At 49.1% G+C, this 14,725-nt stretch overlaps 1 protein-coding gene across 2 annotated transcripts in view, besides 5 other annotated features; it reads right to left on the reverse strand.

Annotated features, from left to right (window-relative positions):
• LRFN2 (leucine rich repeat and fibronectin type III domain containing 2) overlaps positions 1-14,725 on the reverse strand; it is a 195,774-nt gene that overhangs the window by 19,935 nt on the left and 161,114 nt on the right. The window lies entirely within an intron of this gene.
• Positions 7,256-7,892: an enhancer, noted in NCBI's record as "OCT4-H3K27ac-H3K4me1 hESC enhancer chr6:40386520-40387156 (GRCh37/hg19 assembly coordinates)". NCBI's record gives its function as "activates a minimal SCP1, AML or CMV promoter by ChIP-STARR-seq in primed H9 embryonic stem cells {active_cell/tissue: H9 hESC(primed)}" and the evidence as "EXISTENCE:reporter gene assay evidence [ECO:0000049][PMID:30033119]".
• Positions 7,885-8,179: a silencer, noted in NCBI's record as "tiled region #821; K562 Repressive non-DNase unmatched - State 21:Repr". NCBI's record gives its function as "represses a minimal TATA promoter and a strong SV40 promoter by Sharpr-MPRA in K562 cells {active_cell/tissue: K562}" and the evidence as "EXISTENCE:reporter gene assay evidence [ECO:0000049][PMID:27701403]".
• Positions 7,885-8,528: a biological region, named in NCBI's record as "OCT4-NANOG-H3K27ac-H3K4me1 hESC enhancer GRCh37_chr6:40387157-40387792".
• Positions 7,893-8,528: an enhancer, noted in NCBI's record as "OCT4-NANOG-H3K27ac-H3K4me1 hESC enhancer chr6:40387157-40387792 (GRCh37/hg19 assembly coordinates)". NCBI's record gives its function as "activates a minimal SCP1, AML or CMV promoter by ChIP-STARR-seq in primed H9 embryonic stem cells {active_cell/tissue: H9 hESC(primed)}" and the evidence as "EXISTENCE:reporter gene assay evidence [ECO:0000049][PMID:30033119]".
• Positions 8,529-9,164: an enhancer, noted in NCBI's record as "NANOG-H3K27ac-H3K4me1 hESC enhancer chr6:40387793-40388428 (GRCh37/hg19 assembly coordinates)". NCBI's record gives its function as "activates a minimal SCP1, AML or CMV promoter by ChIP-STARR-seq in primed H9 embryonic stem cells {active_cell/tissue: H9 hESC(primed)}" and the evidence as "EXISTENCE:reporter gene assay evidence [ECO:0000049][PMID:30033119]".

Below are 14,725 nucleotides of genomic sequence, written 5' to 3' on the forward strand. Positions count from 1 at the left end.
CCTGTGGGGTCTGGCCCCACTGCCTCTCTGCCCCATCTCGCCCACCCTGCCCTGCACTCTGTGCTTCAGCCACCCTGGCCTCTTCGTTGCTCCTCAGAAACACTCCAGCCATGGAGGCTTTGCCCTGGCTCTTCCTTCTGCCTGGAGGGCCCTTCCCACAGACCTCAGTCCAGCTCCCCTTCAAGTCTTTCCTCAAATCCCACCTTCTCGGTGAGGCCTGCCCTGGACACGCTAGCTAATATTACAACTTACCCACCACCCCCAGCACCCTGCCATGTCTTGCCTGGGGTTTCTTTTTTGTGTGGCACTCACTGTCTCCCAGCACCCATATCATTTACTCATTTGTGGTGCCTGTTGCCCGTTTTCCTCTCATAAGGACCAGGATTGCCAGCTGTTTTGTTGACCGATGTGTTCTAAACATCTGGAACAGGAGCATTTCTTTGCTAGCATAGCTGCCTCAGGTCTCTCATCTGCATGTAACGTGGGGAGGAGACAGAAGCCATCCAGGTCATAGGGCTGCTGGACAGGCTCAATGGTCGGATATCTAAAAGCACTGACAGCAGCCTTGGCACACTGTTCATTAGCTGTGAGCTCTTGTTATCATGCTCCACTGCAGCCTGGAAGTGAAGACTGCGTGAGTGATCCATGGAAGGATCTGGCACAGCAGCAGGTATCCTAGGGAGGGGTCCTGATAAACACTTCCCGCCCCACTCCCACTCCACACCTTACAAATTCTCAGGAAGAAAAATTTTCTGACCTTCCTCAGTCAAGGAACTCATATTTTGAGGGATCCCTTTGAGTTAATGAATTATTTATCAGGAAATTTATAAGATTTTTGGTTTTTTAAATCAAGGGAAAAAGCAAGCGAGGTCCCACCCCTGCCTAGCCTGGGGCTGCACAGCTCCGGGGTCCCATAGGTAACAGAGCATGACTGACAAGTACATCGTCTGGAGGGTATGAGAGTCGCTCAGACCATGCAGGACCTGGAGCTCTGGCCTGAGAGCTTCTCCCAGCTTTGCAACCCCTAACAGGCTATGAGACTGGGGTCAAGTCTTATCCCTTCTCTGGGTCTCCGCTTTTCCCTGACACCGTGAGGCATTCGAATTAAGCCATTTCTTAAGTAATTTCCAGACTCATTCACTCATCCAAGAAATGTTTGTGGAGCTTATGTGACAGGCACTGCTCTAGGTGTCTGTGGGGATGGCAGTGACCCCCACTGATACAAGTCCCTGCCTTGTGGAATTGACATTCTCTGTGGGGACAGAGCAAACAGTAAACACAATTGGTAACTGATTTAGTATGTTAGAAAGTGGACTGTGCTAAGGAAAAAAGAACAAGTAGGTAAGAGAGAAAAAGAAAGTGCTGAGGTTAGAGTGGGACAGCTCAGCTTTAAGTGGGTGGTCAGGCATCACCTCATTGAGCAGGTGAACTTTTGAGGTGAGGGAGATCTTACATCCTAGGAATCTAAGAAGGTCAATGATTCCCAGCACTGCCGTGTTCCAGAGAGCACCGTTTGGGGTCTCTGGAGGCTTATCTCTTCTTTTTCTCCATCTCTGTGCACACTGACCCCATGCCACCCAGTGGGTGATGGGACTGGAAGACAGATTGGCCACATTTGCAAGAGTGGTGAGTGATTTACCGCTGCCTTTATTCATACTCTGATATTTCATGGCTCCCGCAGCTCTGATGAGATAAATATGACCTCTTATTCTCCACTTTGCTTAAGACTCAGGGTCAACAGCCCAGCTGTGATCTATCTGTTGTTCCCTCTGCTGTATGTCCCCACACCAGGGAATCCCGTGACTGTCCGAGATTCACAGTGTCATCCTCCAGCTATACACGCCTGCCTGCCACTCAGCACTGGGCCTGGGCCTGGGTGGGCCAGGGAGGCAGTGGCTGCAGTAGCTCTGGGGGGATGATGACTCATGTAGGGCAGACACTGAGCATTAAATCTCGCTCTTCCCCAGGCCTGTGCTGTCTCTAGGGCTGAACCACGACCCGGTTTCCTTTCAGTCTGGGAAGAGGCAGCAGTGGGAGGCAGAGCAGCCATGGTTCAAGTGGCAAGTTATAAATTAGAACACTCCAGGACATGGCCATCATCTTCCCAGCATGGAGAAGGGGTGGAAGGCATGCATCAGCCTGCCTGCCTCAGATGGAATCCCCCAGGCCCTTGAAGCAGCCGAGGCTCCCCTCTGCCTTCAAAGCAGCCGTGGCTTTATCAGACATCACCAGCACTGACGGAAGTTCTCCTACTTGTCTAGCTGAGAGCCCTCCCCTCCTGAAGCACCCACCTGTTTCCTCTTGTTCCTCCTTATGTGCAGGTGGGTGGGATGGGTGGGTCTGGTTCAGTCTCCCCCTCATGGTGGTTCTGAGTGCCAGTAGGCTGATGGTTCCGGGGTTGTTAGTAGATTGGGCGACCAGGAAGGGGACAGGGTTGAAGGAAATGGGCTCACTGGCCTCTATTTTGAAGACATTACCTATGACTCCAAGACGCTCGTCTCACCCCCTCAATCCTAACTCATGTCCTGGGAGGAAGAGGAACAGGCAGGAGCTCTTTGGAGCACAACAGGCCTGGGTTTGAATCTGGCCCTGCCAGCTCCTAGCTGGGAGGCCTCGGGCAGCTTACATACCCTCTCTTCTCCCTGCAATTCCTAACCTAGGAAAGAATCGTAACCCTGCCTCCCAGGGGGCTATGAAGGTGCCTGGTGCAGTGGGGCCCACACTGTGGGCACTCAGAAGCTAGCTGAGCACTATTGAGGCCTCAAGATGCTGCAGACCCTGAAGCCAGTCTGCTTGGCTTCAAATTCCAGCTGGGACACCTCGGGCAGGCTTCTTCACCAGGCCATGCCTCAGTTCCCCCCTCCTCCCCGCCGTAAAATCAAGGTAATACCAGCACCTTTTTTGTCAGGATGTTGAAATAATTAAATGAGCTAATAAACAGAAACCATGTAGAACAGTACGTGGCATGGAATAATTTCTCAGAAAGGTTGACTCTTATTATCCTTATCTTTATTGGAGGAGAAACCGCCTGCATTTACTTAGCACTTTTGACCTAATTCCATCCATTGGCTTTGTGATTTATAACCCATTTATTTCCAATCAAAGAAATGCAATGACTTGAAACATTAAAACATATAAAATCGGACACGCAAAATTTGTTAATGTTTTATTGAAGATTGAAAATCAATAAAAAGGCTTGAGTGAGAAGCTTGGCCCCCCCAGGCGGGGTCACTGTGACACCCAGAGGATGACTTCAGTTATAAACCCCACGTGACCACAAAGCTGAACACGGCCCTGGGCCACTCTCTTTTGGGAACAGCCTAGAGAGGAGGCAGCAAGATGGTTCCGGACAATGTGAGGGGAGTGGCTTTGTTGGGGTACTCTGTGTGGGAGTTGGCACCACAGGAGACTAGGGAGAGCTGAGGCTGCCTTCAAATGTGGGGCACTTTCAGCTTCAGAGGAGCTTCTTCAGCCCACTTTGGTCCACACAGGACACATTCAGTGTACTGCCCACTGCCAGACCCCACATCTGCAAAGAGACATCACAAAACCTGCACACATCTGAGGCAAGGGACCAGAGACCCACCCCAGACAACTTTCTGCTCCAGAGACAGAAAAACATGCCAGTCTTTCCCCGCAATGCCTCCTGTGCCTCCTCGCTGATTGAGCTCCTACTTTTACTTGTTTTTGTTTTGTTTTGTTTTGTTTTGTTTTGTTTGAGACAGAGTCTTGCTTTGTCGCCTAGGCTGGAATGCAATGGTGCAATCTCATCTCACTGCAACCTCCACCTCCTGGGTTCATGTGACTCTCCTGCCTCAGCCCCCCAAGTACCTGGAATTACAGGCACGTGCCACCATGGCCAGCTAATTTTTGTATTTTTAGTAGAGACGAGGTTTCACCATGTTGGCCAGGCTGGTCTTGAACTCCTGACCTCAGGTGATCCACCCACCTCGACCTCCCAAAATGCTGGGATTACAGGCATGAGCCACGCACCCGGCCTGAATTCCTACTTGACCTTCTGGATCACCTCTTCCAGGAAGCCTTCCCTGGCTTCCCCAGGCTAGGTCAGTTCCCCAGGACCTGCTCTAGCATATATTTGCACAGCATTTATCACAGCTGTAGCTACTGAATCGGTGAAGACCTCCCAGAATAGTTGTTTAACGTTTGTCTGCCTGGGAGATGCGAGTTGCAGGAGGGCAGAAATGCCTTGTTTGTAGCTGCCCTTCCCATGTGTGGCCCAGACTTGAGTTGTAAACTTAAACACCTCTCGAATGACTAAAGGTAAAGGCAAGGATGGAGGAAGGCAGGGAGGTAGGATGTTGAATCTGAACAAATAGCACTGGGTGAAACTGAGAATTATGTTCAAAAATTAACTGAACATATTACAGAAAAAGAATTAGTTTTATGCCTAATAAGGATGAAGGCAGAATCTGAAGGTTGGAGGTAGAGGGAGATAGATTTGAGGGCCTGCAGTGAGATGTCACTTTTGTTTGCTTGTTTTGAGATGGAGTCTCACTTCTTTGCCCAGGCTGGAGTGCAATGGCGGAATCTTGGCTCACTGCAACCTCTGCCTCCTGGGTTCAAGCAATTTTCCTGCCTCAGCCTCCCCAGTAGCTGGGATTACAGGCATGTGCCAGCACGCCCTGCTAATTTTTGTATGTTTAGTAGAGATAGGATTTCACCATGTTGGCCAGGCTGGTCTCAAACTGCTGACTTCAAGTGATCTGCCCGCCTCAGCCTCCCAAAGTGCTGGGATTACAGGCGTGAGCCACCATGTCCGGCCAATGAGGTGTAACATTTTAGCCAGTGGCACCCAACAGTGGTGGGGGCTTTCTTGTTTCTGGCAATTTATTCCTGCATGAGGTCAGCCAACATCCCAAGGGGGTGGCGGGAATGAGGGGTGGTGGGTGGGAGGAGTGGTGGGCACCACAAGGATTCACAGAAAGGAGAGCGTTGGCCTGGATGAGCTTGAACTGACCTTTTCTTACACTGGACTTTTTTTGGTTTGAGAGTAGCAAGCATGAGCCCCATTTTAAAGACAGAAGAACCAAGTCCAAGAGAGTTGCAATAAATAAGCAACTGGACTGGTCCCAGGGACTTTGACTCTGTCTTTCCTCTCCCTGACTCTCCCAAGCCCTTGGCAATAAGTCCACACAGGAGAACTGAGCTTTGAGGTCACCTCGTGACCCCTCCTGACCCCCTTCCTCCTTCTCCTGCTAGGGCATCCACTGTGCCCTCCCTCGGGTCAGCATCCACTGTTCGCCAGTCCCAGGAAAAAACCCACTTCGCCATCTCCCAGGTTTCTGCCCATTAAATGTGCAAAGAAACCCATCTTTAATGGTGGAATTCCCGGCCCTCCGAACTGTGAAGGAAGCATTTTTAAACAGGGTTCTGTTCTTAGGCCTGTTCTAGTCAGGGTGGGGAAGAATAGGGCTTGGGTCTAAACCTGGGCGCTCCTGCTTTCCTGGCCTGGGAGAAGTAGCTCCCCACCCATTCCCTTTTGCTGCAGGACAGAAGCTTCCTTCCAGCCCCCGGCCCCTGAGGGAAGAGACTGCTGAGCACCAGCCAAGCCAACCCAGGAATCTTCAAAGCCTCCCTGTTCCACTCAGACCTTTTTCCTAGCAACAATCAAAGCTTGAGGGAGGAGAGCAAAGCAGCCTTGGGAAGCAGCCCTTGGCACTGGCTCACACGCGGTGGCATTTTGACGGGTGGTAAAAATATCTGGTGTTCAGTGCCGGCTGCCGCTGCTGCCACCATCTCAGCTTCCAAGATCCTGTCTCCATGCTCAGTGCCTCGGCAGCCTCCCGACCTGTCCACGCACACCTTGGGAGTCAGAGCACAGGTCACTGAGCCCCTGACCAAGGGCCACATTCATGTATGACAACTGCCACCTTCATTGCCAGGGCCAGGCACCAGCCAAAAATGCACTTATGAGCTACTAGAGTAGGTGATTTATTGTCAGAAATGCCACAGCACACACCTAATGAGCTAATTAAGCAAAAATATAAATAATTACTCCCTATCAGAGTACAAGGTTGTGGGGTAGAGGGGGTGGGGAATGCTGACAGAGGAGCTGGGTCAGTGATGGCGTGGGATGCTCTGCTCTGCAGGGGGAGATCCAAAACTCCTCTCCACTCACGGCTATGAGTTGGGCCTCAGTGAGGTTCCCAGGCTGGGCAGACATAGGCCCAAGGATTCTGCCAGAAAAATCATGACAACATGCTGCTTTGTTCCCTACCTAAGTACTTCCTGCTCACTCACAGGCGCACACCCTAATCTCCTCCTGCCCCAAGTGGGAGAGAAAGAAGGGGTCCTTCTCCCATTTTATGGATGTGAACATTCAGGAGCAACAGGGTCTCAAGATACAGCTAAAACTCTGCAACCATCCCGTAACTGGTCTCCCTGATGCTATCCCTGCCTGCTGCGGTATATTCTCCAACCAGCAGCAGAATCTTCTTTCTTAATCACATCATGCCAGTCTCCTACTTTCAAATCTCCCCAGCCCCAGCCCCAGAGGTTTCCGTCTCATTCAAGATAAAATCCGAGGCCTCATCATGGCCAGCAAGGGCCTATGTAATCTAGCCCTGTCCAGTCTTCTCACTCATTCACTGCCACTCTTCCTCCAGAGGCACTGGAGTCCTTGCCACTTCTCCAACAGGATGAATGCATCCCTCCCCAGGGCCTCTGTATGTGCTGTTTCACCTGCCTGACTCTTTCACTCCATTCAGGTCTCCACTCCAACATCACTCCTTACAGAGGCGATTCCTAACCACCCATATAAAACTGTAGCCCTCTGGTCTCGGTCTCGTTACACTGCTTATTTTTCTTCCTCGTGTACATTTTTGAACTTTTCATCTCTCCCCCCAGTAAGAATGTAAGCTCCTTGATATTCAAGGCCACCCATACTTTTCCCTGTTCCCACCTCTGCCTTCCTATCACTTCCCTAGGCAAGAGCTGTGCCTGTCTTTTCCCAATCCTGAGGTCTTGACCAGACAATAAATATTTATTGACTGAATAAATGAATATCTGGTTCCAAATACAGAGTTTTCCTCACCCCAGGTCATTCTTCCCCTCAGAACTAGACCCTGGCTTCTCATCAGCAACAGGAGGAAGCCCAAAGTCAGGACAGCACTTGTTCCAAGCTCAAGCTCCCCTGCCTCCAAGCTGTGAGACCTTGCAAGTCACGCCACCTCCCTATGGCTCAGAGTCCTCATCTGTCAAGTGGCAATCATGGATCACACCTCATAGGGTTAACATGAGTCCAAATAAGAAAACATGCAGAACAGCTTTAGAACAGTACCTGGAGTGCAGTAAGGGCTCAGAAACATAGCTACTTTGTGTGACATTCAAGGCTATCCATACTCTGCCCTCTTCCAACCTCTGCATTCCTATCCTTTTCCTAGACCAGTGATTCTCAAAGTAAAGTCCCAAGACCAGCAGCATCAGCATCCCGGAGAGAATGTATTAGAAGTGCAAATTCTCAGGCTCCACTCGGTACCTACTGAATTACAAACTCAAGGGGCAGGGTCTTGCACTTGTGTGTTCACAAGCCTGCCAGGTGATTCTCATGCTTGCTCAGGTTTGAGAACCACTGCCCTCTAAGGGGGCTTTCTGCCAGGAAAGTCAAGTGTCGCAAATTATTGGTCCTGTTTCTTTACCAGCCTGTGATACAGCAGCACCTCCACAGCCTTTCATGGATTGATGCTGAGCGCAGTTCATTCCCTGCACCTTGCCTTTGGGCTTGGCCATGTAACTTGCTGTGGCTAGCGGGATTTTGCAGGTGTGATACCAACAGAAGCTTGACGTTCATTTCTGCAGGTGGGCTTGCCTTCCTGCATTTCTGCTATCACCATGAGAAGAACATACCTGGAGAACCACTACCCCTCTCCTGGGGCTCCAGGATGAGATACACAGAGAAGATTGAAATCAGAACTGGAGCCTGAAGCCAAGTGCAGTCCTGCCCAGCCCAGCCCAGGCCAGACCAGTTCAACTCCAGCCAACCTGCAGAGCTATGACTAAGGAAATTCAATATTCTTGGATGTAAGCCACCTAGAGTTTGAGGTTCTTTGTTATGCAACATGGTTGTGGCAGCAGCTGATGAATACACCAGGGGCCCTCACAGGCCTTTGACTGGGCCTGATCATTCCTGCCTCTGTCTCTGTCTTCATTGGTTTCACCCAAAACAGCTACCACCCCCTCACCCTGACCCCGCACAGCCTCCTTCCTTCCAAATCCCACCTTAACCCCAGGACACAGCTTACACTCCACTCTACCTGCTCTCATAGCCCCCCAGAATATGTTCCTCTCAAGCCAGGCAGTTAGCTCATGGAAAAGCCCAAGTGGACTAATTTCACCAAGCAATTCATTTACGTTTTAACCTTTTGCGGGGCTAATTGCTAAACTGAGAAGCTCCTTTACTTAGTACCATTACTGACTAATGACCTAGTGCAAAGGTTTGGTGTTTAACAGATCTCTTCCATGCTTCATTTCCTGCCGCTCACCTCCTTTACAATGCAATCGGAGTTCATTCGCATATCTGGATCAGCACTCTTAACCACAGCATCAGCCCCACAGCCGCAGAGCACAGCGGAGCCCACCTTTGGAGCCCACCCCTGCTGGAAATAGCTCTCTTTTGTAAAGAGTTAACGAGCTCGTTCATCCACAGTGCTTGGCTGCATGGCCCTGCATTCACCCCGGGGTGGCCCATCGCGTCCTGTGGTTTTGTGCCATTCTTCCTGCCCCACCTCTGAGACCCTGAAGATGGTGGACATTAATTTGACTTCTTGTTGTGATCCCTTCTGTCACCCACAGGGTGCCCACTCCCATCACACACATTCATGCCAGACCATAGGCCTAATTGTCAAGAAGTAAGCTTCCCTCTTTGCTTTGCTCTGTGTCTCCAGAGATGAGAAAAGAACACTCACAGACAGGCAGGAAAGCAGCCCCATCAGCTTCCCCCCCAGGCTGGCCTCAGCCACAAACTGGCTACTGGTTGCTGGGACTGTGTGGGCAGGTGCCAAGAAATGCTCACAGCAGCGATGCTTTCGCCCATGCAGCTCTGTGGCCATCATACGCCTCCCCAACATCCATTCCCCACTTCTAACTTCCCGGCAGAACGTTATTTTATCTAATGGGGAGCAACATGCGTGAACAGACAATCGCCTTCCTCAGCCTCCAATGTGCACTGGAGGAAATACAATAAGCTAGCAGCAAAAGTCAGTGGGTGGGATTCTTTAAAGTGGTTGGTGCCTGTCTTAGTTTGGGTTTCCCAGATGCAGACCCTGAGACAAGGATTTGAATACAAGTAGTTTATTTGGGAGGTGGGCTCAGGAAACTGTGGTAAGGAAGTGTGGAAGGAAGTCAGCACAGGGCATTTTGCTAAGCAAGTTACCACTGTGGGCAATGAGGCCCACCCCTAATGGGAGCCCCTGGGAGTGAGCATAGACCATGTATCTGCCTTTCTCCAAGGCTGAGGAAGCTGGGGTATTAATCCTCCAAACTCTGTTAAAGGCTGAGGGCTGATCCCAGGGTTGGCGACTCCTCTGTGGATAGGCCACACCAGAGAAAGTCCCCAGGTAGAGAATGTGAGCAAGAGCAAGAGCAGTGAGCCACACATTAAGAATAATGCAATTGACCTGCTTCAGTCCCTGACTCCATGGAGCTCCCATACCAGCTCTGAACTACCTCCTTCTGGAATGCTTTGACAGAATTGTGAACTCACAAAAGTATCTGATAGGTCTCAATCCATTTAGAAAGTTTATTTTGCCAAGGTTAAGGACATGCCCATGATGCAGCCTCAGGGGGTCCTGGAGACACGTGCCCAAGGTAGTCTGGGTGCAGCTTGCTTTTATACATTTGAGGGAGACCTAATACATCAATCAATACATGTAAGATGTACATCAGTTCAAACTGGAAAGGCAAGAGGTGGGTCGCTTTGAGGTAATAGGTAGATTTAAAGATGTTCTGATTGGCAATTGGCTGAGTTATTATCAATAAAAAGGAGTGTCTGGGTAACAATAAAGAGTAGTGGAGACCAAGGTTTTATCATGCAGATGAAGCCTCCAGGTAGCAGGATTCAGAGAAAATAGATTGTAAATGTTTCTTATCAGACTTAAAGAGTCTGTTCTGTCAGTAATTCCAAAAGAGAGGAGGGTATAATGAGGCACATGTGGCTCCTCATTCCTATCATGGCCAAGTTTTTTCAGGTTAACTTTGGAATGCTCTTGACTGAATGGAGGGGTTCATTCAATTGGTTGGTGGGCCTTAGAATTTTATTTTTGGTTTTCAGAATGACGGAAATAACCCCCAAATTTGGAAAAGTCAGATTTCTGCTACTAGAAGCACTTCACACTTTATGAAGATGTTCTTCTTTCACGCTTTGTCATCTCTTTCCAATGTTACAACAACCTGGTGAGTTATCATTATCTCCATTTAGCAGGTGAGGAGCCTGAGGTTCAGACAAGTAAAGAGAAGGGAGATCTCAAGAGCCCATGTCTGGAGCCCCTGATTCCATCTTTCTTATAGTAATCACTCAGACTCAGCTGAGGGGTAAAAAAAATGGCTCCAGTGAGCTGAAATGCACATGGTGTTTTGTTTCCAAAGTGTTTCCACATATGTTATCTCTTTGGAGATAACCCCATAGAGAAAAGATTTTTTCTTCCAATGTTAGATGAAGCAAATCTCAAAGAGATGAGTAGTGCATGGTAGAGCTGGGATTGAACCCAGGCCTTCTGGCTTCTTCCCTCACTAGCAGTTTGGAGACCAATTCCCTAGCTGTGGATTTACAGAAACTCTGTCTACCAGTGCTGTCCAAACCCCTGATTTCACTGGGCATGATGCTGAATGCATGTCAAAATCACTGGGAGAGCCTTAAAAACGAGAATATCCAGGCACCAACCCAAGCTGACTCAGAATCCCTTTTTTGGTGGGGGGATGCCACTACTCAAGGGGTTCCAAAACACAGTCAGGGTTGGGAAACATGGGTGGTAGGAAGCCCTGGACTCGGGGTCAGAATGCCTGAGTTCCATACCTTCCCCACTCCTGGTCTGACCTGGGCTGTTAATGAGGCTGAATAGAGCTGGGTTCTGTGAATACGCACACGCCTGGGAAAGTTCAGTTGTGAGATAAGTGTTTGGTGTTGTTTTGATGGCCACCACTACAGCATTGTCCCCAAGTCCCAGGCACTCTTCCAGGCCTAACCCCATCCCTCTGTAAGCCCTTTTTGGTGTTTTCCTGGTATGGAATAAACGATATCCTCACTCCCATCTCCAAACTAACCAAACGTATGTACAATTAATTGGACTGGTTCTCTTGTTATCTCTTACTGGAGGGGGAAAAAGCTTCATTTCAGAAAAGAGGGAGACTGGATACTGTAATCTCTTTACTCTTGCTAATTACTTTTTATCTTTGGAGCTCTCTCCAGCCACAGCTTTTGGAAATTGAGAAGGGAATAACATGTGGAGAAATTAGTCACCTCTGAACAGATGCTCTGAAGCTTTTTGAATCCCAGTGGTGTCACCTTCTTGAGGACAGTGAGAGAGGCAGGATGTGGGGATAGTAATATGATTTGAGATGCTCTTAGAAGGTGCCCTGAAAAACATCTCCCCTATGCACAAACCTCCTGTGGGTTTTCAAACTCCACCATCAGGGATTCACTCCTTTGGGTCTTTCAGAACTCCCAATTGAAGTGAAAATATTTCTGAAAGGGGTTATACCTTATACCTTGATCCCTTAAAACCTCATCAGATCACTTTCCAAGTTTACAGCTCTGTTGGTTTTGAAAAATGGAGACAGAAGAGGCAGGCTGGGGAATAGGGACTAGAAGACAGGACCAAGAAGAAAAAGTGGGCAGGCTCCTAGTAATCATAAGTACTCTCAGCTAACCAGTATGCCGCTGTTAACTATGAAGAACGCTCTTTCAAATACATGAGCTCTTTCAGTCCTCACCACAATCCTATGAAATATGCAGAAAGGAATCTCTGTTCTCATTTTACATATAAGAAAATAAAGATGGAGAGCAATAAAGTGATTTTCCCATTGTCCCAGGACTAGTAAATGATGGAGTTGTGTGGATGTGCTACCTGCCTTCCTATCTTCTCTGCATCACTGAGGGTGCATTGTGCCTAACTTGGAAAAAATAACCCTACATTTCCTAGCTTCCTTTGCAGAAATGTGTGCCCAGTGAAATGCAAGGAGAAGTTATTGGATGGGGATTCTGAGAAACTCCCCACTTTGCTTTCTTGCCCTTCTTGTTTCCATCTTTCCTATTGCATAAAAGGGCGATGGGATCACTGGTGCTCTAGCAACAATTTTGTGCTTTTAAGTGACCTTAAGGACAGAAACTGTGTGCTGAGGATGGTAGGACAGAAAGACAGAAGGAACTGGGCTCCTGATGACCATGCTACCCAGAAAACCAGTCCTAAATTCCCTTCCACTGGTCTTCTTTTACATGAGATGTTATAAACCCTTATGAGTTTAAGTCATACTAGTTGAGTTTTCTGTTCATCCTAATCACTACCCTGGACTTCTGACTCCAGAGTCATCTTTTTCTGTGATGCCTCTAGCAACTTTGTCACTTCACAGTGGCTTACCTGGTGACATGTAAACCAGAAATCCTCATCTTGCCCATTGATTACCTGGATGATCCCAGGTGGTGGAGTGGAACCAAGCTTCTCACTGGCACCCCTGTTTCCCCAACATTGCTGGAACTTAGAAGTATGAGACTGAGTCTCGACTAAAGCTGACAGAGAAAATCCCTGTGGACTTCCAGAAGGCTACTCCATACTTCCCCAGAAGGAGAAATTACAGCTGGTGTCCCCACCCCAAGTCTCCAGCCTTAATAAAAAGTCTTTGGGGCCTTAGCGAGATGTGCCCCACAGCAGGTACATAGCACAGTGGAAAGGGCTGGATGTAGAAGACTACATTTCTTAGTCTTTGCTTTGGATAACTTTGTAAAATCTACGCAATCTGTTTGAGACTAGTTTTACTATCTATAAAATGGGTTTAACGTTATTGTCTTCTGCATCCCCTCTTGTAGATGTCATGTTTCAACAGCGTGAAAAAAAAATTAGAAAATATAAAATCCAAGGCAGGTTCATTTTGATCCGGGCTCTGACCAAGGAGCTGCCTTTCCTCCCTGTCCACCCCTATTTCCTCCTCTATACCATTCTCTTCCTCTGCCTGTGGGGACTCAACCCACCCTTCCAGGAGAATCCAGACCCTCTTGGGAAACAGCCGAGTCAAAGAATCTTCTCTCACAGGTCCTGTTCCTGGCATGCCCCACTCCCTTTAGAGAACACCTGTCCCTAACAGCTTCTCCCTTTAAGAACACCACTTCCCACTAGCTTCTCCCCATGGCCCCAGATCCTGAGATGTCGATTTCATTAGCAAATTTTTCTCCACCCCACAGTAGAGATGGCTGTCTTTTCATGGGGTAGGCCACAGCCCCACTGAGGTGTGGAGTGGTAAGGTCCTGATGGGGTGAAAACTTGCTGAATCTGCCCTCTTGTCCTTTCCCCAGATAGGAGACAGAGCAGCAGTAAAAGATGCAGCCCCCTGCCCCAGCCCTGCAAAACTCAGTAGGGTGGTCCAGTCTCCCAGGACAGGACATGTGTCTAACAATCATGGAAGAACATGGCATGGGAAAGGGAGCCTGCAGATAGGGCGCGACAGGGGCTGGGGTGGCTGTCATCTCTCCATCTTCAGGGTCTCTCTCCTTATAGCCCCTCACTTTTCTACACAAGGATGGGGGCAGCATAACAAGCAACACAAGGCATGGCTGCATCCCGGCTGACTGCCTTAGGAGCATGCCTGCTCTTCCCCTGGCTCTCCTGGGGATCATTCCAACATCACGCCTGGTGACAGATGTTCTTGACAACTCTTAGAGACAAGTGTTTGTGAATGTCACTTGGGCTGATAATGACATGCAGGGCATTTAACTTTCCATGTCACCCCAGGGATGAAGCCAAGCTGGGGTGAACTGTTGCTCCCTCCAGGGTGGCAGAGGAGGCTGCCTTTCTGACTTCCCTCTCCCAAACTTCCCCTACCCCTCATTGACTTCTCTCCCCTTTGTTGCTGTCACCATTAGTGCCAGCCCCTTCCTGACAGGCTGGGCCCTGGCATTGAGGGACATGATAGTCAGCCCTCCCTAGTCACAAAGGAAACAGGCCAGGCCCTGCTGGTGGACTGTCTGTCTCCAGTGTGTCACAGCGCCTGCCTGCAGGGCTCAGCTGTGTGTACTCAGGAAGAGCAAGCAGCTTGGGAGTGCAGCCAGGACTGTTAAATAATGATGGAGCTTATTAGCTGAAAAAAGCGCAAAGCACTGTTTTATACAGCCTAATTCAAATCTGGTCTGAGTTATCCATGATTTGGGGTGATCCATGCCTCTGCTCCTCCTTCCTGGTATGTAGACTAGACCCTGATGTTTTCAGACATTGCTCTTAGCTCTTTGGGGTTTCTGTGAAACCTCGAGGTGGGTCACTGGTGACCTGTCAATGGCCTATGTCCAGGTCTGGTTGGGTTCTCTGGGCCTCTGCCAAGATTTTTGTCTCTGACCCCAGGCCCTGGAGCTTAAATGCACCTTAACTCCAGGAGGCAAGCTGACACAGTGCCCCCAACTAGTAAAAGTAGGTGAATTTAGCAACAGTGGAAGCCATATTATGTTGATCATGGGATTCTGAAAGTCTCAAGTAGATCCACACACGATGAGAGCTGGGATAATTTAAGT

This window comes from Homo sapiens, chromosome 6 (assembly GCF_000001405.40).
Source record: "Homo sapiens chromosome 6, GRCh38.p14 Primary Assembly".
NCBI lineage: Eukaryota > Metazoa > Chordata > Mammalia > Primates > Hominidae > Homo > Homo sapiens.